Below are 22,309 nucleotides of genomic sequence, written 5' to 3' on the forward strand. Positions count from 1 at the left end.
ATGAGAAGATATTTCCTTTTTTACCATAGGCCACAAAGGGCTCCAAACGTCCACTTGCAGATTCTACAAAAAGAGTGTTTCCAAACTGCTCTATCAAAAGATATGTTCAACTATGTGAGCTGAATGTACACATCACAAAGAAGTTTCTCAGAATGCTTCTGTGTAGTTTTTATGTTGAGATATTTCCTTTTCCACCATAGGCCTCAAAGCACTCCAAATATCCACTTGCATATTCTATAAAAAGAGTGTTTCAAAACTGCTCAATCAAATGAAAGGTTCAACTCTGTGAGATGAATGCACACATCACAAGGAAGTTTCTCAGAATGCTTCTGTGTAGTTTTTATTGGAAGATATTTCCTTTTCCACAATAGGCCACAAAGGGCTCCAAATATTCACTTGCAGATTCTGCAAAAAGAATGTTTCAAACTGCTCAATGAAAAGAGAGGTTCAACTCTGTGCGATGAATGCACCCATTACAAAGGAGTTTCTCAGAATCCTTCTGTGTAGTTTTTATGTGAAGATATTTCCTTTTCCACCATAGGCCCCAAGTGCTCCAAATGTCCACTTGCAGATTCTACAAAAAGAGAATTTCAAAACTGCTCCATCCAAAGAAATTTTTAACTCTCTGAGATAAATGCACACATCACAAGAAGTTTCTCAGATTGCTTCTGTCAGATTTTATGTGAAGATATTTCCTTTTCTACCACAGGACACAAAGCTCTCCAAAAGTCCACTTGCAGAAACTACAAAAAGAGTGTTTCCAAACTGTGCAATCAAAAGAAAGTTTCAAATCTGTGATATGAATGCACACATCCCAAAGAAGTTTCTCAGAATGCTTCTGTCTGGTTTTTATGTGAAGATATTTCCTTTTCCACAATAGGCCTCAAAGCACTCCAAATGTCCACTTGAAGATTCTACAGAAAGAGTCTTTCAAAACTGCTCAATGAAAAGAAAGTTTCAAATTGTTGAGATGAAAGCACACATCACAAACGAGTTTCTCAGAATGCTTCTGTATAAGTTTTGATGTGAAGATATTTCCTTTTCCACCATAGGCCTGCTAGCCCTCCAAATATCCACTTGAAGATCCTTCAAAAAAAAGTATTTCAAAACTGATGAATCAAAAGAAAGGTTCAACTCTGTGAGATGAATGAGTACATCACAAAGACGTTTCTCAGAATGCTTCTGTCTAGTTTTTATGTGAAGATGTTTCCTTTTCCACCATAGGCCTCAAGTCGCTCCAAATATCCACTTGCATATTCCACAAAAGAGTGTTTCACAACTGCTCAATCAATAGAAAGGTTCAACTCCGTGATATGAATGCACATGACTCAAAGAAGTTTCTCAGAATGCTTCTGTCTAGTTTTTATGTGAAGATATTTCCTTTTGCACTGTAGGCCGAAATGCGCTCCTAATATCCACATGCTGATTCTACAAAAAGCATGTTTCAAAACTGCTCAATCAAAAGAAAGGTTCAACTCTGTGAGTTGAATTCACACATCACAAAGAAGTTTCACAGAATGCTTCTGTGTGGTTTTTATGTGAACATATTTCCTTTTCCGCTGGCAGATTCTACAAAAAGAGTGTATCCAAAGTGCTCAGTCAAAAGAAAGGTTCAACTATGTGAGTTCAATGCACACATCACGAGGAACTTTCTCAGAATGCTTCTGTGTAGTTTTTATGTGAAGATATTTCCTTTTCCACCATAGGCCTCAAAGTGCTCCAAATATCCACTTGCAGATTCCACATAAAGAGTTTTTCCAAACTGCTCAATCAAAAAAAAGGTTCAACTCTGAAAGATTAATGCACACAACACAAAGAGGTTTCTGAGAATACTTCTGCCTAGTTTTTATTTGAAGATATTTCCTTTTCCACCATAGGTCTTAAACCTCTCCAAATATCCATTTGCAGATTCCAAGAAAACACTGTTTCTAAACTGCACAAACAAAAGAAAGTTTCAACTCTGTGAGTTACATTCACACTTCACAAAGAAGTTTTTTCGGATTGCTTCTGTGTAGTTTTTATGTGAAGATATTTCTTTTTCCACCATAGGCCACAAAGGGCTCCAATCATCCACTTCCAGATTCTACAAAAAGACTGTTTCAAAACTGCTCAATCAAAAGAAACTTACAACACTGTGAGTTGAACACACACATCACCAAGAACTTTCTCAAAATGCTTCTGTGTTTTTTTTTATGTGCAGATATTTCCTTTTCCACACTAGGCCTCAAAGCGCTCCAACAATCCAATTGCAGATTCTGCAAAAAGAGTTTCCAAACTGCTCAATCAAAAGAAAGGTTCAACTCTGTGAGATGAATGCACACATCACAAGGAAGTTTCACAGAATCCTTCTCTCTAGTGTTTATGTAAAGGTATTTCCTTTTCCACTATAGGCCTCATAGTGCTACAAATATCCACTTGCAGATTCTACAAAAACAGTGTTTCAAAACTGCTCAATGAAAAGAAAGATTCAACTCTGTGAGATGAATGCACACATCACAAAGAAGTTTCTCAGAATCCCTCTGTGTAGTTTTTATTTGAAGATATTTCCTTTTCCCACATAGGCGTCAAAACTCTCCAAATATCCATTTACAGATACCACATAAAGACAGTTTCCAAACTGGGCAATCAAAAAAAGAGTGCAACTCTGTGAGGTGAACACACACATCACAAAGAAGTTTCTCAGAATGCTTCTGTGTAGTTTTTATGTGTAGGTATTTCCTTTTCCACCACAGGGCTCCAAGCGCTCCAAATATCCACTTGCAGATACTACAAAAAGAGTGTTTCAAAACTGAAGAATCAAAAGAAAGGTTCAAATATGTGAGATGAATGACACATCAAAAAGAAGTTTCTCAGAATGCTTCGGTGCAGTTTTTATATGAAGATATTTCCCTTTCTACCGCAGCCCTCCAAGCTCTCCAAATATCCACTTGCAGATTCTACAAAAAGAGTGTTTCAAAACTGATGAATCAAAAGAAACGTTCAACTCTGTGAGATGAATGCTCACGTCACAAAGCAGTTTCTCAGGATGCTTCTGTATAGTTTTTATGTGAAGGTATTTCCTTTTCCACCATAGGCCTGAAATCACTCCAAAAATCCACTTGCAGATTCTACAAAAAGAGTGTTTCAAAACTACACAATCAAAAGATAGGTCCAACTCCGTCAGATCAATGCACACATCACAAAGAAGTTTCTCAGAATACTTCTGTTTAGTTTTTATGTGAAGATATTTCCTTTTCAACCCTAGGCCGCAAAGGGCTCCAAATATCCACTTGCAGATTCTACATAAAGAGTGTTTCAATACTGTGGAATCAAAAGAAAAGTTCAACTCTGTGAGATGAATGCACACATCACAAAAAAGTTTCTCATTATGCTTCTGTCTAGTTTATATTTGAAGATATTTCATTTTCCACCATAGACCTCAAATGGCTAAAAATATCTACTTGCAGATTCTACAAAATGTGTGTTTCAAAACTGCTCAATCAAAAGAAAGGTTCAACTCTATGAGTTGAATGCATGTATCACAAAGAAGTTTCTCAGAATGCTTCTGTCTAGTTTTAATGTGAAAATGTTTCCTTTTCCACCATATGCTTCAAACCTCTCCCAATATCCATTTGGAGAAACTACAAAAAGACTGTTTCCAAACTACTCAATCAAAACTAACGTTCAACTCTGTGAGTTGAATGCACACATCACAAAGTAATTTATGAGATTGGTTGTGTGTAGTGTTTCTGTGAATAAATTTCCTTTTCCCTAAAAGTCCTCAAATCTCTCCAAATATCCACTTGCAGATTCCACAAGAAGAGTGTTTCAAAACTGCTCAATCAAAAGATGCATTCAACTCGGTGAGTTGAATGCACACATCACAAAGAGGTTTCTCAGAATGCTTCTCTCTAGTTTTTATGTAAAGATATTTCCTTTTCCACCATAAACCTCAAAGAGCTCCAACGATCCATTTGCAGATTCTACAAAACGTGTGTTTCAAAGCTGTTCAAACAAAAGAAAGTTTCCACTTTGTGAGATGAATGCACACATCAGAAAGAAGTTCCTCAGAATACTTCTGTCTACCTTTTATGTGAAGATATTTCCTTTTACACCAGAGGCCTCAAATCAATCCAAATATCCACTTGCACATTTTACAAAAAGAGTGTTTTGAAACTACTCAATCAAAAGAGAGGTTCAACTCTGTGAGTTGAATGCTCACATCACAAAGATGTTTCTCAGAATGCTTCTGTCTAGTTTTTATGTCAAAATATTTCCTTTTCCACCATAGGCCTCAAAGTGCTCAAAATATCCACTTGCAGATTCTACAAAAAGAGTGTTTCAAAACTGCTCCATCTAAAAAGAGGTTCAACTCTTTGAGTTGAATGCACACATCACAAAGAAGTTTCTCAGAATGCTTCTGACCAGTTTCTATGAGAAGATATTTCCTTTTCCACAATTGGCCACAAAACGCTCGAATTATCCATTTGCAGATATTACAGAAAGAGTGTTTCTAAACTTCTCAATCAAAAGAGTGGTTCAACTCTGTGTGTTGAATGCACACATCACAATGAAGTTTCTCAGAATGCTTCTGTCTAATTTTTATGTGAAGAGACTTCCTTTTACACCTTAGACCTCAAATCGCTCCAAATATCAACTTGCAGATTTTACAAAAAGACTGTTTCACAGAGCCAAAGACAAAAACCACATGATTATCTCAATAGATGCAGAAAAAGCCTTCGACAAAATTCAACAACCCTTCATGCTAAAAACTCTCAATAAATTAGGTATTGATGGGACGTATTTCAAAATAATAAGAGCTATCTATGACAAACCCACAGCCAATATCATACTGAATGGGCAAAAACTGGAAGCATTCCCTTTGAAAACTGGCACAAGACAGGGATGCCCTCTCTCACCGCTCCTATTCAACATAGTGTTGCAAGTTCTGGCCAGGGCAATCAGGCAGGAGAAGGAAATAAAGGGTATTCAATTAGGAAAAGAGGAAGTCAAATTGTCCCTGTTTGCAGACGACATGATTGTTTATCTAGAAAACCCCATCGTCTCAGCCCAAAATCTCCTTAAGCTGATAAGCAACTTCAGCAAAGTCTCAGGATACAAAATCAATGTACAAAAATCACAAGCATTCTTATACACCAACAACAGACAAACAGAGAGCCAAATCATGAGTGAACTCCCATTCACAATTGCTTCAAAGAGAATAAAATACCTAGGAATCCAACTTACAAGGGATGTGAAGGACCTCTTCAAGGAGAACTACAAACCACTGCTCAAGGAAATAAAAGAGGACACAAACAAATGGAAGAACATTCCATGCTCATGGGTAGGAAGAATCAATATCATGAAAATGGCCATACTGCCCAAGGTAATTTACAGATTCAATGCCGTCCCCATCAAGCTACCAATGACTTTCTTCACAGAATTGGAAAAAACTACTTTAAAGTTCATATGGAACCAAAAAAGAGCCCGCATCGCCAAGTCAATCCTAAGCCAAAAGAACAAAGCTGGAGGCATCACACTACCTGACTTCAAACTATACTACAAGGCTACAGTAACCAAAACAGCATGGTACTGGTACCAAAACAGAGATATAGATGAATGGAACAGAACAGAGCCCTCAGAAATAATGCCACATATCTACAACTATCTGATCTTTGACAAACCTGAGAAAAACAAGCAATGGGGAAAGGATTCCCTATTTAATAAATGGTGCTGGGAAAACTGGCTAGCCATATGTAGAAAGCTGAAACTGGATCCCTTCCTTACACCTTATACAAAAATCAATTCAAGATGGATTAAAGATTTAAACGTTAGACCTAAAACCATAAAAACCCTAGAAGAAAACCTAGGCATTACCATTCAGGACATAGGCGTGGGCAAGGACTTCATGTCCAAAACACCAAAAGCAATGGCAACAAAAGACAAAATTGACAAATGGGATCTAATTAAACTAAAGAGCTTCTGCACAGCAAAAGAAACTACCATCAGAGTGAACAGGCAACCTACAAAATGGGAGAAAATTTTCGCAACCTACTCATCTGACAAAGGGCTAATATCCAGAATCTACAATGAACTCAAACAAATTTACAAGAAAAAAACAAACAACCCCATCAAAAAGTGGGCGAAGGACATGAACAGACACTTCTCAAAACAAGACATTTATGCAGCCAAAAAACACATGAAGAAATGCTCATCATCACTGGCCATCAGAGAAATGCAAATCAAAACCACTATGAGATATCATCTCACACCAGTTAGAATGGCAATCATTAAAAAGTCAGGAAACAACAGGTGCTGGAGAGGATGTGGAGAAATAGGAACACTTTTACACTGTTGGTGGGACTGTAAACTAGTTCAACCCTTGTGGAAGTCAGTGTGGCGATTCCTCAGGGATCTAGAACTAGAAATACCATTTGACCCAGCCATCCCATTACTGGGTATATACCCAAAGGACTATAAATCATGCTGCTATAAAGACACATGCACACGTATGTTTATTGCGGCACTATTCACAATAGCAAAGACTTGGAACCAACCCAAATGTCCAACAATGATAGACTGGATTAAGAAAATGTGGCACATATACACCATGGAATACTATGCAGCCATAAAAAATGATGAGTTCATGTCCTTTGTAGGGACATGGATGAAATTGGAAACCATCATTCTCAGTAAACTATCGCAAGAACAAAAAACCAAACACCGCATATTCTCACTCATAGGTGGGAATTGAACAATGAGATCACTTGGACACAGGAAGGGGAATATCACACTCTGGGGACTGTGGTGGGGTCGGGGGAGTGGGGAGGGATAGCATTGGGAGATATACCTAATGCTAGATGACACGTTAGTGGGTGCAGCGCACCAGCATGGCACATGTATACATATGTAACTAACCTGCACAATGTGCACATGTACACTAAAACTTAGAGTATAATAAAAAAAAAAATTAAAAAAAAAAAAAGACTGTTTCAAAACTGCTCAATCAAAAGAAAAGTTCAACTCTGTGAGGTGAATGCACACATCACAAGGAAGTTTCTCAGAATGCTTCTGTCTAGTTTTTTTATGAAGATATTTCCTTTTCCACTATAGGCCTCAAAGCGCTCCAAATATCCACTTGCTGATTCCAAAAAAAGAGGCTTTCAAAACTGCTCAACAAAAAGAAAGGGTCAACTCTGTCAGATGAATGCACACATCACAAAGAAGTTTCTCAGAATGCTTCTGTCTAGTTTTTATGAAAGATATTTCCCTTTCCAATAGAGGCCTCAAAGAGCTCCAAATATCCACTTGTAGATTCTACAAAAAGAGGTTTTCAAAACTGCTGAAACAAAAGAAAAGTTCAACTCTGTGAGATGAATACACACATCACAAAGAAGTTTCTCAGAATGCTTCTGTCTAGTTTTTATGTCAAAATATTTCCTTCTCCACCATAGGCTTCAAAGTACTCAAAATATCCACTTGCAGATTCTTCAAAAGGAATGTTTCAAAATTGTTGAATCAAAAGAAAAGTTCAGCTCTGTGAATTTAATGCATACATCACAAAGATGTTTCTCAGAATGCTTCTCTCTAGTTGTTGTGTGAAGACATTTACATTTCCACTACAGGCCGCAAAAATCTCCAAATATCCACTTGCAGATTCTACAAAAAGAGTGTTTCAAAACTACTCAAACAAAAGAAAGTTTCAACTCAGTGAGTTGAATGCACACGTCCCAAAGAAGTTTCTCAGAATACTTCTGTCTAGATTTTATCTGAAGATATTCCCTTTTCCACTATACGCTGCAAAACGTTTCAAATATCCACATCCAGATTCTATGAAAAGACTGTTTCAAAACTGTTCAATCAATGGAGAGGTTCAACTCTGTGAGATGAATGTTCACATCACATATATGTTTCTCAGAATGCTTCAGTCTAGTTTATATGTGAAGACATTTCTTTATCACAATAGGCTGCAAAGTGCTCCAAATATCCACTTGTAGATTCCACAAAAAGACTGCTTCAAAACTGCTCAATCAAAAGAAGGTTCAACTTTGTGAGATGAATGCACACATGACAAAGAAGTTTCTCAGAATGCTTCTGTGTAGTTTTTATGTGAAGATATTTCCTTTTCAAATATAGGCCACAAATCGCTCCAAATATCCACTTGCAGATTCTACAAAAAGAGTTTTTCAAAACTGCTCAATCAAAAGAAAGTTTCAACTCTGTGAGAGGAATGCACACATCACAAAGGAGTCTCTCAGAATGCTTCTGTCTAGTTTTTATGTGAAGATATTTCCTTTTCCAATAGAAGGTGCAAAGCACTCCAAATATCCTCTCGTAGATTCTACAAAAAGAGTGTTTCAAAACTGCTGAATCAAAAGACATGTTCAACTCTGTGAGATGAATGCACATATCACAAAGGAGTTTCTCGTAATGCTTCTATCCAGTTTTTATGTAAACATACTTCCTTTTCCACTTTAGGCCAAAATGCGCTCCAAATATCGACTTGCAGATTCTACAAAAACAGTGTTTCAAAACTGCTCAATCAAAAGAAAAGTTCAACTCTGTGAGATGAATGCACACTTCACAAAGAAGTTTCTCAGAATGCTTCTGTCTAGTTTTTAGGTGAATATATTTCCTTTTCTACTATAGAACGCAAAGCACTCCAAATATCCATTTGCAAATACTACAAAAAGCCTGTTTCCAAGCTGCTCAATCAAAAGAAAGGTTCATTTCCGTGAGTGGAAGGCACACATCACATAGAAGTTTCTCAGAATGCTTCCATCTAGTTGTTATGGGAAGGTATTTACCTTTCCAATAGAGGCCACAGAAATCTCCAAATATCCACTTACAGAATCTACAAAAAGAGTGTTTCAAAACTGCTCAGGCAAAAAAAGTTTCCACTCAGTGAGCTGAATGCACACATCACAAAGAAATTTCACAGAATGCTTCTGTCTAGATTTTATGTGAAGGTACTTCCTTTTCCACTATAGGCTGCAAAGCGCTGCAAATGTCCACTTGCAGATTCTACAAAAACAGTGTTTCGAAACTGCTCAATCAAAAGAAATGTTAAACTCTGTGAGATGAATGCACACATCCCAAATAAGCTTCTCAGAATGCTTCTGTCTCGTATTTATATGAAGATATTTCCTTTTCCACCATAGGCTCCAAAGCGCTCTGAATATCCATTTGCAGATACTACCAAAAGACGGTTTCCAAATTGCTCAATCATAAGAAAGGTTCAACTCTGTGAGATGAATGCACACATCAGAAAGAAGTCTCTCAAAATGCTCTGTGTAGTTTTTATGTGAAGGTATTTCCTTTTCCACTATAGGCCACAAAGCACTTCAAATATCCACTTGCAGATACTACAAAAAGAGTGTTTCAAACCTGCTCCATCAAAAAAAAGGTTGAACTCAGTGAGATGAGTGCACACATCACAAAGAAGTTTCCCAGAATGCTTCTGTCTTGTTTTTATATGAAGATATCTCATTTTCCACCATAGGCCTCAAAGCGCTCCAAATATCCACTTGCAGATTCTACAAAAAGAGTGTTTCAAAACTGCTCAATCAAAAGAAAGTTTCAACTCAGTAAGATGAATGCACACATCACAAAGAAGTTTCCCAGAATGCTTCTGTCTAGTTTTTATGTGAAAATATTTCCTTTTCCACTATAGGCTCCAAGGCTCTCCAAATATCCACGTGCAGATTCTACACAGAGAGTTTCCAAACTTGTCAGTCAAAAGAAATGTTCAACTCTGTGAGATGAATGCTCACATCCCAAAGAAGTTTCTCAGAAGGCTTCTGTCTAGTTTTTATGTGAAGACATTTCCTTTTCCACCATAGGCCTCAAAGCGCTCCAGATATCCACTTGCAGATTCTACCAAAAGAGTGTTTGAAAACTGCTCAATCAAAAGAAAGGTTCAACTCCATGAGATGAATGCTCACATCACAAAGTGGTTTCTCAATATGCTTCTGTCTAGATTTTCTGTGAAGATATTTCCTTTTCCAACCTAGGCCTCAAAGCCTTCCAAATTTCCACTTGCAGATTCTACAAAAAGGGTGTTTCAGTCTGCTCAATCAAAGGAAAGGTTCAACTCGGTGAGATGAATGCACACGTCACAAAGATGTTTCTCAGAATTCTTCTGTCTAGTTTTAATGTGAAGATATTTCCTTATCCACTATAGGCCAGAAAGTGCTCCAAATATCCAATTACAGATCCTACAAAACGAGTGTTTCAAAACTGCTCAATCAAAAGAGAGTGTCAACTCTGTGAGATGAGTGCACACATGACAAGGAAGTTTCTCAGAATGTTTCTGACTAGTTTTCTTGTGAAGATATTTCCTTTTCCACCACAGGCCACAAAGCGCTCCAAATGTTCATTTGCAGATATTACAAAAAGACCATTTTCAAACTGCTCAATCAAAAGAAAGGCTCAACTTTGTGAGTTGAATGCACACATCACAAGGAAGTTTCTCAGAATGCTTCTGTCTAGTTTTTATGTGAAGATATTTCCTTTTCCACCATAGGACTCAAAGCACTCCAAATATCCATTTGCAGATACTACAAAAAGACGGTTTCCAAACTGCTCAATCAAAAAAAAGTTTACACTCTGTGAGATGAATGCACACGTCACTAAGAAGACTCTCAGAATGATTCTGTGTAGTTTTTATGTTAAGATATTTCCTTTTCCACTATAGGCCGCAAAGCACTCCAAATATGCACTTGCAGATGCTCCAAAAAGAGTGTTTCAAAACTGCTCGATCAAAAAAAAGTTGAACACTGTGTGATGAATGCACACATCATGAAGAAGTTTCACAGAATACTTCTGTCTAGATTTTATGTAAAGATATTTCCTTTTCCACTATAGGCTGAAGAGCACTGCAAATATCCACTTGCAGATTCTACAAGAGTGTTTCAAAACTGCCCAATCAAAAGAAAGGTTCAACTCTCTGAGACCAATGCCCACATCAGAAACAAGTATCTCAGGATGCTTCAGTCTAGTTTTTATGTGAAGTTATTACCTTTTGCACCATAGGCTTCAAAGTGCTCCAAATATACACTTGGAAATTCTACAAAAAGAGTGTTTCAAAACTTCTCAATCAAAAGAAAGGTTCAACTCCATGAGATGAATGCACACATCACAAAGAAGTTTCTCAGAATGCTTCTGTGTAGTTTTTATATGAAGATATTTCCTTTTCCACTATAGACCAGAAAGCCCTCCAAATATCCATTTGCAGATCCTACAAAACGAGTGTTTCAAAACTGCTCAATCAAAAAAGAGGGTCAACTCTTTGAGATGAATTCACTCATCCCAAAGAAGTTTCTCAGAATATTTCTGACTAGTTTTTCTGTGAAGATATTTCCTTTTCCACCACAGGCCTCGAAGCGCTCCAAATATCCATTTTCAAGTATTACAAAAAGACCGTTTCCAAACTGCTAAATCAAAAGAAAGGCTCAAATTTGTGAGTTGAATGCACACATCAAAAAGAAGTTTCTCAGAATGCTTCTGTCTAGTTTTTATGTGTAGATATCCCCTTTTCCACAATAGGCCTTAAAGCACTCCAAATATCCTCTTGCAGACTCTACAAAAAGAGTGTTTCAGAACTGCTGAGTCAAAAGAAAGGTTCAACTCTGTGAGATGAATGCACACATCACAAAGAAGTTTCTCAGAATGCTTCTGTCTAGTTTTTATGTGAAGATATTTCCTTTTCCACTATAGTTCGCACAGCGCTCCAAATATCCACTTGCAGATATTACAAAAAGAGTGTTTCAAAACTGCTCAATCAAAAGAAAGATTCAACTATGTGAGATGAATGCACGCATCACAAAGAAGTTTCTCAGAATGATTCTGTCTAGTTTTAATGTGAAGATATATCCTTTTCCACTATAGACCTCAAAGTGCTGTCTAATATCCCATTGCAGATGCTACAAAAAGACTATTTCCAAACTGCTCTATGAAAAGAATGGTTCAACTCTGTGACTTGATTGCACACATCACAAAGAAGTTTCTCAGAAAGTTTCTGTCTAGTACTTATGTGAAGATATTTCATTTTTCACCATAGGCCTCAAAGCGCTCACAAATATCCATTTGTAGATTCTCCAAGAACAGAGTTTCCAAACTTCTCAGTTAAAAGAAAGGTTTACTTTTTGAGATGAATGCACACATCACAAAGCAGTTTCTCAGAAAGCTTCTTTCTAGTTTATATGTGAAGACATTTCCTTTTTCACCATAGGCCTCAAAGAGCTCCAATTATCCCTTTGCAGATTTAACAAAAAGATTGTTTCCAAACTGCTCAATCAAAAGAATGGTTCAACTCTGTGAGACAAATGCACTCATCACAAAGAAGTTTCTCAGAAAGCTTCTGTCTAGTTTTTCTGTGAAGATATTTCATTTTTCAACATAGGCTTCAAAGCGCTATCAGATATCCCTTTGCAGATTCTACAGAAAGAGTGTTTCCAAACTGCTATATGAAAAGAATGATTCAACTCTGTGAGACGAATGCACACATCTCAAAGAAGTTTCTCAGAAAGCTTCTGTCTAGTTTTCATGAGAAGGCATTTACCTTTTCACCATATGCCTCAAAGTGCTCCCAAATATCCTTTTGCAATTTCTACAAAAACAGAGTTTCCAAACTGCTCAATGAAAAGAATATTTCAATTCTGTGAGATGAATGCACACATCACAAAGAAGTTTCTCAGAAAGCTTCTGTCCAGTTTTTATGTGAAATTATTTCCTTTTGCACCATGGGCCTCAAAGTGCTCACAAATATCCCTTTGCAGATTCTACAAGAACAGAGTTTCCAAACTAGTCAGTGGAAAGAAATGTTTACCTCTGTGAGATGAATGTGCACATCACAAAGCAGTTTCTCAGAAAGCTTCTGTGTAGTATTTATATGAAGACATTTCCTTTTTCACCACAGGCCTCAAAGCAGTCCCAAATATCCCTTGAAGATTCTATAAAAAGACGGTTTCCAAACTGCTCAATCAAAAGAATGGTTCAACTGTGTGAGATGAATGCACACATTGCAAAGTCGTTCCTCAGAAAGCTTCTTTCTGATGTTTATGTGAAGATATTTCCTTTTTCACAACAGGCCTCAAAGCACTCCCAAATATCCCTTTGCAGGTTCTTCAAAAAGACTGTTTCCTAACTGCTTGATCAAAAGAATGGTTCAACTCCATGAGACAAATGCACACACCACAAATAAGTTTCTCAGAAAACTTCTGTCTAGTTTTTATGGAAGATATTTCCTTTTCCACCCTTGGATTGAAAGCGCTCACAAATATCCCTTTGCAGATTCTTGAAGAAAAGAGTTTCTAAACTGCTCTATAAAAAGAAATGTTTGCCTCTGTGAGATGAATGCACACATCACAAAGAAGTTTCTCAGAAAGCTTCTCTGTAGTTTTTATGTGAAGACATTTCTGTTATCACCATAGACTTCAAAGGACTCCCAAATATCCCTTTGCAGATTCCACCAAAAGACTGTTTCCAAACTGCTCAATGAAAAGAATGGTTCAACTCTGTGAGACGGATGCAAACATCCCAAAGAAGTTTCTCAGAAAACTTCTGCCCAGTTTTTATGTGAAAATATTTCCTTTTTCACCATAGGCCTCAAAGTGCTCAGAAATATCCCTTTGCAGATTCTACAAGAACAGAGTTTCCAAACTGCTCAATGAAAAGAAACGTTTAGCTCTGAGAGATGAATTCACACATCACATAGCAGTTTCTCAGAAACTTTCTGTCTAGTTTTTATTTGAAGATATTTTCTTTTTCACCATAGGCTTCAAACCACTCACAAATATCCCTTTTCAGATTCTACAAACACTGTGTTTCCAAACTGCTCAATCAAAACAATGGTTCAACTCTGTGAGACGAATTCACAGATCACAAAGCAGTTTCTAAGAAAGCTCCTTTCTATTTTTTATGTGAGGATATTTCCTTTTTCACCATAGGCTTCAAAGTGCTCACAAATATCCCTTTGCAGATTCTAGAAAAACAGTGGTTCCAAACTGCTCAATCAAAAGAATTTTTCAACTCTGTGAGATGAATGCCCACATCACAATGCAGTTTCTCAGAAAGATTCTTTCAGGTTTGTATCGGAAGTTATTCATTTTTTCACCACAAGCCTCTGTGAGAATCCAAATCTCCCTTTGCAGATTCTACAAACACTGTGTTTCCAAACTGCTGTACCAAAAGAATGGTTTAACTCTGTGAGATGAATGCACAGATAACAAAGCACTTTCTAAGAAAGCTCCTTTCTGGTTTTTATGTGAGGATATTTCCTTTTTCACCATAGGCCTCAAAGCACTCAAAAATATCCCTTTGCAGATTCTAGAAAAACAGTGGTTACAAACTGCTCAAAAAAAAGAATGGTTCAACTCTGTTACAGGGATGAACACATCACAAAGAAGTTTCTGAGAAAGCTTCTTTCTAGTTCTTGTTTGAAGATATTTCCTTTTTCAATATAAGCTTCAAAGTGCTCCCAAATATAACTTTGCACTTTCTGCAAAAACAGTGGTTCCGAACTGCACAATCAAAAGAATTGTTCAACTCTGTGAGATGAATGCACACATCACAAAGCAGTTTCTCAGAAAGCTTCTGTCCAGTTTGTATAGGAAGATATTCCCTTTTTCACCATAGGCCTCCATGCGAATGCAAATATCCCTTCGCAGATTCTACAAACACTGCATTTCCAAACTGCTCAAACAAAAGAATGGTTCAACTCTGTGAGATGTATGCAGACATCACAAATCAGTTTCTCAGAAAATTTCTTTTTAGTTTGTATTGAAAAATATTTCTTTTTCACCATAGGCCTCAATGCGTTCCTAAATATCCCTTTGCAGATTCTAGAAGAAGAGTGTTTTGAAACTGCTCAATGAAAAGAAATGTTTAACTATGTGAGATGAATGCACACATCACAAAGCAGTTTCTCAGAAAGCTTCTTTCCAGTTTTTATGTAAAGATATTTCCTTTTTCACCATAAGCCTCAAAGCACTCCCAAATATCCCTTTGCAGATACTACAAAAACAGTGGTTCCAAACTGCTCAATCAAAAGAATTGCTCAAGTATGTGAGATCAATGCACACATCACAAAGCAGTTTCTCAGAAAGCTCCTTCCCACTTTGTATTGGAAGATATTTCCTTTTTCACCACAGGCCTCCATGTGAATGCAAATATCCCTTTGCAGATTCTACAAACAACGTGTTTCTAAACTGCACAATCAAAAGAATGGTTCAACTCTGTGAGATGAATGCACACATCACAAAGCAATTTCACAGAAATTTTCTAATTTGTATCAGAAGATATTTCCTTTTTCACCATAGGCCTCAATGTGCTCCCAAATATTGCTTTGCAGATTTTAGAAGAACAGAGTTTCCAAACTGCTCAGTGAAAAGAAACGTTTAACTCTGTGAGAAGAATGCACACATCACAAAGCAGTTTATCAAAAAACTTCTATCTAGTTTGTATCAGAAGATGTTTCTTCTGTCACCACAGGCCTCAAGGCAACTCCAAATATCCCTTCACACATTCTACAAACACTGTGTTTCCAAACTACTCTATGAAAATAATGGTTTACCTCTGTGAGACGAATGCACAGATCACAATGCATTTTCTTTTTTTTTTTTTTTTAAGAGAAAGAAACAGAGAATTTATTGCTGGAAGACATGCCTTACAGAAATGCAAATGGAAATTTATCACACTGAAAATAAAGACGTTAGACAATAATTTGAATCCACATGTAAAAACATAATTAACATAAAGGTAATATAAATATAATTACAAAAGGCAACATAATTGCATATTTCTTCTTCAGTTGTCTCTTGATTAAAAATATTAAGAGAACCAAAGCAAGTAAATATATCAATTTAGTAACTTGAAAACTTTCCACAAAGAAAAGCCCAGGCCCAGATGGCTTCAATGTGAATCTACCAAACATTCAAAGATAAGTATCTTTCCTGTACTCTTCCAAAATATGCAGAAGGAGGGAACATTTCTTAACTTATTCTATAATGTTGCATTTATTCTGATACCAAAACCAAACACATTAAAGAAAACTACAGATCAATAAACCAACTGAATATTAGCATATTAATATACAAAATAATTCTCAACAAAATACTATCAGACTGAATCCTGCAACTTATAAAAAGCATGCATACAGGCTGGGTGCAGTGGCTAACGCCTGTAATCCCAGCACTTTAGGAAGCTGAGGTGAGAGGATTGTTTGAGCACAGGAGTTTGAGACCAGCTTGGACAACATACTGAGACCCTGTCTATACAAAAAAATTTAATTGCTAGGTGTGGTGGCACATGTCTCTGATTCCAGCCACTCAGGAGGTGGAAAGATCACTTGAGTTTGGAAAGTCTCAGGCTGCAGTGATCTGTGATCACACCACTGTGCTCCAGCCTGTGTGACAAAGGGAGACTCTGTCTCAGAAAAAAAAGAAAAAAGTTATACCACATGCAACATGACCAAGTGGGATTTATCTTAGAAATGCAAGGTTTGTTTAATATCTGAAAATCAATTAGTATAATAAACCATATTAATGGAAGAAAGGATAAACTTCATATCATCATCTCAATATAGACAGGAAACATTTAAAAAATACAATACCATTTCATGATAAAAACACCCAACAAACTGGGAATAGAAAACTACCTCCTCAACTAGGTGTAGGCCATACACAAGAAACCCACGGATAACCTTATATTTGATAGTGGAAGGCTGAATGCCTTACTTCTAAGGTCAGGAGCCAGACAAGGGTATCTGCTCTTGCCACTTGTATTTAATATTGTGCTGGAAATCTCAGATAGGGTAATTAGGCAAGATAAAGAAACAAAGGTCATCCAGACCATGAAGGAAGAAATAGAACTATCTTTTTTAAAATTTTATTATTATTATTATGCTTTAAGTTTTAGGGTACATGCACACGATGTGCAGGTTTCTTAAAAATGTATACATGTGCCATGTTGGTGTGCTGCACCCATTAACACGTCATTTAGCATTAGGTATATCTCCTAATACTATCCCTCCCCACTGCCACCACCCCACAACCGTCCCCGGAGTATGATGTTCCCCTTCCTGTGTCCATGTGTTCTCATTGTTCAATTTCCACCTACGAATGAGAACATGCAGTGTTTGGATTTGTGTCCTTGTGATAGTTTGCTGAGAGTGATGGTTTCCAGTTTCATCCATGTCCCTACAAAGGACATGAACTCATCATTTTTTATGGCTGCACAGTATTCCATGGTATATATGTGCCACATTTTCTTAATCCATTCTATCATTGTTGGACATTTGGGTTGGTTCCAAGTCTTTGCTATTGTGAATAGTGCCGCAATAAACATATGTGTGCATGTGTCTTTATAGCAGCATGATTTATAATCCTTTGGGTATATACCCAGTAATGGGATGGCTGGGTCAAATGGTATTTCTAGGTCTAGATCCCTGAGGAATCGCCACACCGACTTCCACCATGGTTGAACTAGTTTACACTCCCACCAACAGTGTAGAAGTGTTCCTATTTCTCCACATCCTCTCCAGCACCTGTTGTTTCCTGACTTTTTAATGATCACCATTTTAACTGGTGTGAGATGGTATCTCATTGTGGTTTTGATTTGCATTTCTCTGATGGCCAGTGATGACAAGCATTTTTTCCTGTGTTTTTTGGCTGCGTAAATGTCTTCTTTTGAGAAGTGTCTGTTCATATCCTTTGCCCACTTTTTGATGGAGTCATTTGTTTTTTCTTGTAAATTTGTTTGAGTTCATTGTAGATTCTGGATATTAGCCCTTTGTCAGATGAGTAGGTTGCAAAAATTTTCTCCCATTTTGTAGGTTGCCTGTTCACTCTGATGGTAGTTTCTTTTGCTGTGCAGAAGCTCTTTAGTTTAATTAGATCCCATTTGTCAATTTTGGCTTTTGTTGCCATTGCTTTTGGTGTTTTAGTCATGAAGTTCTTGCCCATGCCTATGTCCTGAAAGGTATTGCCTAGGTTTTCTTCTGGTATTTTTATGGTTTTAGGTCTAACATGTAAGTCTTTAATCCATCTTGAATTAATTTTTGTACAAGGTGTAAGGAAGGGATCCAGTTTCATCTTTCTACATGTGGCTAGCCAGTTTTCCCAGCACCATTTATTGAATAGGGAATCCTTCCCCCATTTCTTGTTTTTGCCAGGTTTGTCAAAGATCAGATGGTTGTAGATATGCAGCATTATTTTTGAGGGCTCTGTTCTGTTCCATTGATCTATATCTCTGTTTTGGTACAAGTACCATGCCGTTTTGGTGACTGCAGCCTTGTAGTATAGTTTGAAGTCAGGTAGCATGATGCCTCCAGCTTTGTTTTTTTGGCTTAGTATTGACTTGGCAATGCGGGCTCTTTTTTGGTTCCATATGAACTTTAAAGTAGTTTTTTCCAATTCTGTGAAGAAAGTCATTGGTAGCTTGATGGGGATGGCAATGAATCTATAAATTACCTTGGGCAGTATGGCCATTTACATGATATTGATTCTTCCTACCCATGAGTATGGAATGTTCTTCCATTTGTTTTTATCCTCTTTTATTTCCTTGAGCAGTGGTTTGTAGTTCTCCTTGAAGAGCCCCTTCACATCCCTTGTAAGTTGGATTCCTAGGTATTTTATTGTCTTTGAAGCAATTGTGAATGGGAGTTCACTCATGATTTGTCTCTCTGTCTGTTATTGGTGTATAAGAATGTTTGTGATTTTTGCATGTTGATTTTGTATCTTGAGAATTTGCTGAAGTTACCTATCAGCTTAAGGATATTTTGGGCTGAGGTGATGGGGTTTCCTAGATATACAATCATGTCATCTGCAAACAGGGACAATTTGACTTCCTCTTTTCCTAATTGAATGCCCTTTATTTCCTTCTCCTGCCTGATTGCCCTGGCCAGAAATTCCAACACTATGTTGAATAGGAGTGGTGAGAGAGAGCATCCCTGTCTTGTGCCAGTTTTCAAAGGGAATGCTTCTGGTGTTTGTCGATTCAGTATGATATTGGCTGTGGGTTTGTCATAGATAGCTCTCATTATTTTGAGATATGTCCCATCAATACCTAATTTATTGAGAGTTTTTAGCATGAAGCGTTTTTGAATTTTGTCAGAGGCCTTTTCTGCATCTATTGAGATAATCATGTGGTTTTTGTCTTTGGTTCTGTTTATATGCTGGATTTCATTTATTGTTTTGTGTATGTTGAACCAGCCTTGCATCCCAGGGATGAAGCCCACTTGATCATGGTGGATAAGCTTTTTGATGTGTTGCTGGATTCGGTTTGCCAGTATTTTATTGAGGATATTTGCATCAATGTTCATCAAGGATATCGGTGTAAAATTCTCCTTTTTGGTGGTTTCCCTGCCAGGCTTTAGTATCAGGATGATGCTGGCCTCATAAAATGAGTTAGGGAGGATTCCCTCTTTTTCTATGGATTGGAATAGTTTCAGAAGGAATGGTACCAGCTCCTCCTTGTACCTCTGGTAGAATTCGGCTGTGAATCCATCTGGTCCTGGACTATTTTTGGTTGGTAAGCTATTGATTATTGCCTCAATTTCAGATCCTGTTATTGGTCTATTCAGAGATTCAACTTCTTACTGGTTTAGTCTTGGGATGGTGTATGTGTCCAGGAATTTATCCATTTCTTCTAGATTTTCTAGTTTATTTGCATAGAGGTGTTTGTAGTATTCTCTGATGGTAGTTTGTATTTCTGTGGGATCAGTGATGATATCACCTTTAACATTTTTTATTGCATCTATTTGATTCTTCTCACTTTTCTTCTTTATTAGTCTTGCTAGTGGTCTATCAATTTTGTTGATCTTATCAAAAAACCAGCTCCTGGATTCATTAATTTTTTGAAGGGTTTTTTGTGTCTCTATTTCCTTCAGTTCTGCTCTGATTTTAGTTATTTCTTGCCTTCTGCTAGCTTTTGCATGTGTTTTCTCTTGCTTTTCTAGTTCTTTTAATTGTGATGTTAGGGTGTCAATTTTAGATCTTTCCTCCTTTCTTTTGTGGACATTTAGTGCTATAAATTTCCCTCTACACACTGCTTTTAATGTGTCCCAGAGATTCTGGTATGCTGTGTCTTTGTTCTCATTGGTTTCAAAGAACATCTTTATTTCTGCCTTCATTTCGTTCTGTACCCAGTAGTCACTAAGGAGCATGTTGTTCAGTGTCCATGTCGTTGAGCAGTTTTGAGTGAGTTTCTTAATCCTGAGTTCTAGTTTGCTTGCACTGTGGTCTGAGAGACAGTTTGTTATAATTTCTGTTCTTTTACATTTGCTGAGGAGTGCTTTACTTCCAACTATATGGTCAATTTTGGAATAGGTGTGGTGTGGTGGTGAAAAAAATGTATATTCTGTTGATTTGGGGTGGAGAGTTCTGTAGATGTCTGTTAGGTCCGCTTGGTGCAGAGCTGAGTTCACTTCCTGGGTATCCTTGTTAACTTTCTGTCTCATTGATCTGTCTAATGTTGACAGTGTGGTGTTAACATCTCCCATTATTATTTTGTGGGAGTCTAAGTCTCTTTGTAGGTCACTCAGGACTTGCTTTATGAATCTGGGTGCTCCTGTATTGGGTGCATATATATTTAGGATAGTTAGCTCTTCTTGTTGAATTGATCCCTTTACCATTATGTAATAGCCTTCTTTGTCTCTTCTTATCTTTGTTGATTTAAAGTCTGTTTTATCAGAGACTAGGATTGAAACCCCTGCCATTTTTGTTTTCCATTTGCTTGGTAGATCTTCCTCCATCCTGTTATTTTGAGCCTATGTGTGTCTCTGCACATGAGATGGGTTTCCTGAATACAGCACACTGATGGGTCTTGACTCTTTATCCAATTTGCCAGTCTGTGTCTTTTAATTGGAGAATTTAGTCCATTGACATTTAAAGTTAATATTGTTATGTGTGAATTTGTTCCTGTCATTATGATGTTAGCTGGTTATTTTGCTCATCAGTTGATGCAGTTTCTTCCTAGTCTCGATGGTCTTTACATTTTGGCATGATTTTGCAGCAGCTGGTACCAGTTGTTCCCTTCCATGTTTAGCATTTCCTTCAGGAGCTCTTTTAGGGCAGTCCTGGTGGTGACAAAATCTCTCAGCATTTGCTTGTCTGTAAAGTATTTTATTTCTCCTTCACTTATGAAGCTTAGTTTGGCTGGATATGAAATTCTGGGTTGAAAATTCTTTTCTTTAAGAATGTTGAATATTGGCCCCCACTCTCTTCTGGTTTGTAGAGTTTCTTCTGGGATATCTGCTGTTAGTCTGATGGGCTTCCCTTTGTGGGTAGCCCGACCTTTCTCTCTGGCTCCCCTTAACATTTTTTCCTTCATTTCAACTTTGGTGAATCTGACAATTATGTGTCTTGGAGTTGCTGTTCTCGAGGAGTATCTTTGTGGCGTTCTCTGTATTTCCTGAATCTGAATGTTGGCCTTCCTTGCTAGATTGGGGAAGTTCTCCTGGATAATATCCTGCAGAGTGTTTTCCTACTTGGGTCCATTCTCCCCGTCACTTTCAGGTACATCAGTCAGATGTAGATTTGGTCTTTTCACATAGTCCCATATTTCTTGGAGGCTTTGTTCATTTCTTTTTATTCTTTTTTCTCTAAACTTCCTTTCTCACTTCATTTCATTCATTTCATCTTCCATCACTGATACCCTTTCTTCCAGTTGATTGCATCAGCTCCTGAGGCTTCTGCATTCTTCACGTAGTTCTCAAGCTTTGGCTTTCAATTCCATCAGCTCCTTTAAGGACTTCTCTGTTCATGTCCTTTTCCCACTTTTTGATGGGGTCGTTTGTTTTGTTCTTGTAAATTTGTTTGAGATCATTGTAGATTCTGGATATTAGCCCTTTGTCAAATGAGTAGGTTGCAAAAATTTTCTCCCATTCTCTAGGTTGCCTGTGCACTCTGATGGTAGTTTCTTTTGCTGTACAGAAGCTCTTTAGTTTAATTAGATCCCATTTGTCAATTTTGGCTTTTGTTGCCATTGCTTTTGGTGTTTTAGACATGAAGTCCTTGCCTCAAAAGAAGACATTTATGCAGCCAAAAAACACATAAAAAAATGCTCGTCATCACTGGCATTCAGAGAAATGCAAATCAAAACCACAATGAGATACCATCTCACACCAGTTAGAATGGCAATAATTAAAAAGTCAGGAAACAACAGGTGCTGGAGAGGATGTGGAGAAATAGGAACAATTTTACACTGTTGTTGGGACTGTAAACTAGTTCAACCATTGTGGAAGTCAGTGTGGCGATTCCTCAGGGATCTAGAACTGGAAATACCATTTGACCCAGCCATCCCATTACTGGGTATATACCCAAAGGATTAT

At 37.4% G+C, this 22,309-nt stretch overlaps 2 annotated features.

Annotated features, from left to right (window-relative positions):
- Positions 2,223 to 2,819: an enhancer, noted in NCBI's record as "OCT4-NANOG hESC enhancer chr3:93505591-93506187 (GRCh37/hg19 assembly coordinates)". NCBI's record gives its function as "activates a minimal SCP1, AML or CMV promoter by ChIP-STARR-seq in primed H9 embryonic stem cells {active_cell/tissue: H9 hESC(primed)}" and the evidence as "EXISTENCE:reporter gene assay evidence [ECO:0000049][PMID:30033119]".
- Positions 12,095 to 12,596: an enhancer, noted in NCBI's record as "OCT4 hESC enhancer chr3:93515463-93515964 (GRCh37/hg19 assembly coordinates)". NCBI's record gives its function as "activates a minimal SCP1, AML or CMV promoter by ChIP-STARR-seq in naive H9 embryonic stem cells {active_cell/tissue: H9 hESC(naive)}" and the evidence as "EXISTENCE:reporter gene assay evidence [ECO:0000049][PMID:30033119]".

This window comes from Homo sapiens, chromosome 3, assembly GCF_000001405.40.
Source record: "Homo sapiens chromosome 3, GRCh38.p14 Primary Assembly".
In the NCBI taxonomy this organism is placed as follows: domain Eukaryota; kingdom Metazoa; phylum Chordata; class Mammalia; order Primates; family Hominidae; genus Homo; species Homo sapiens.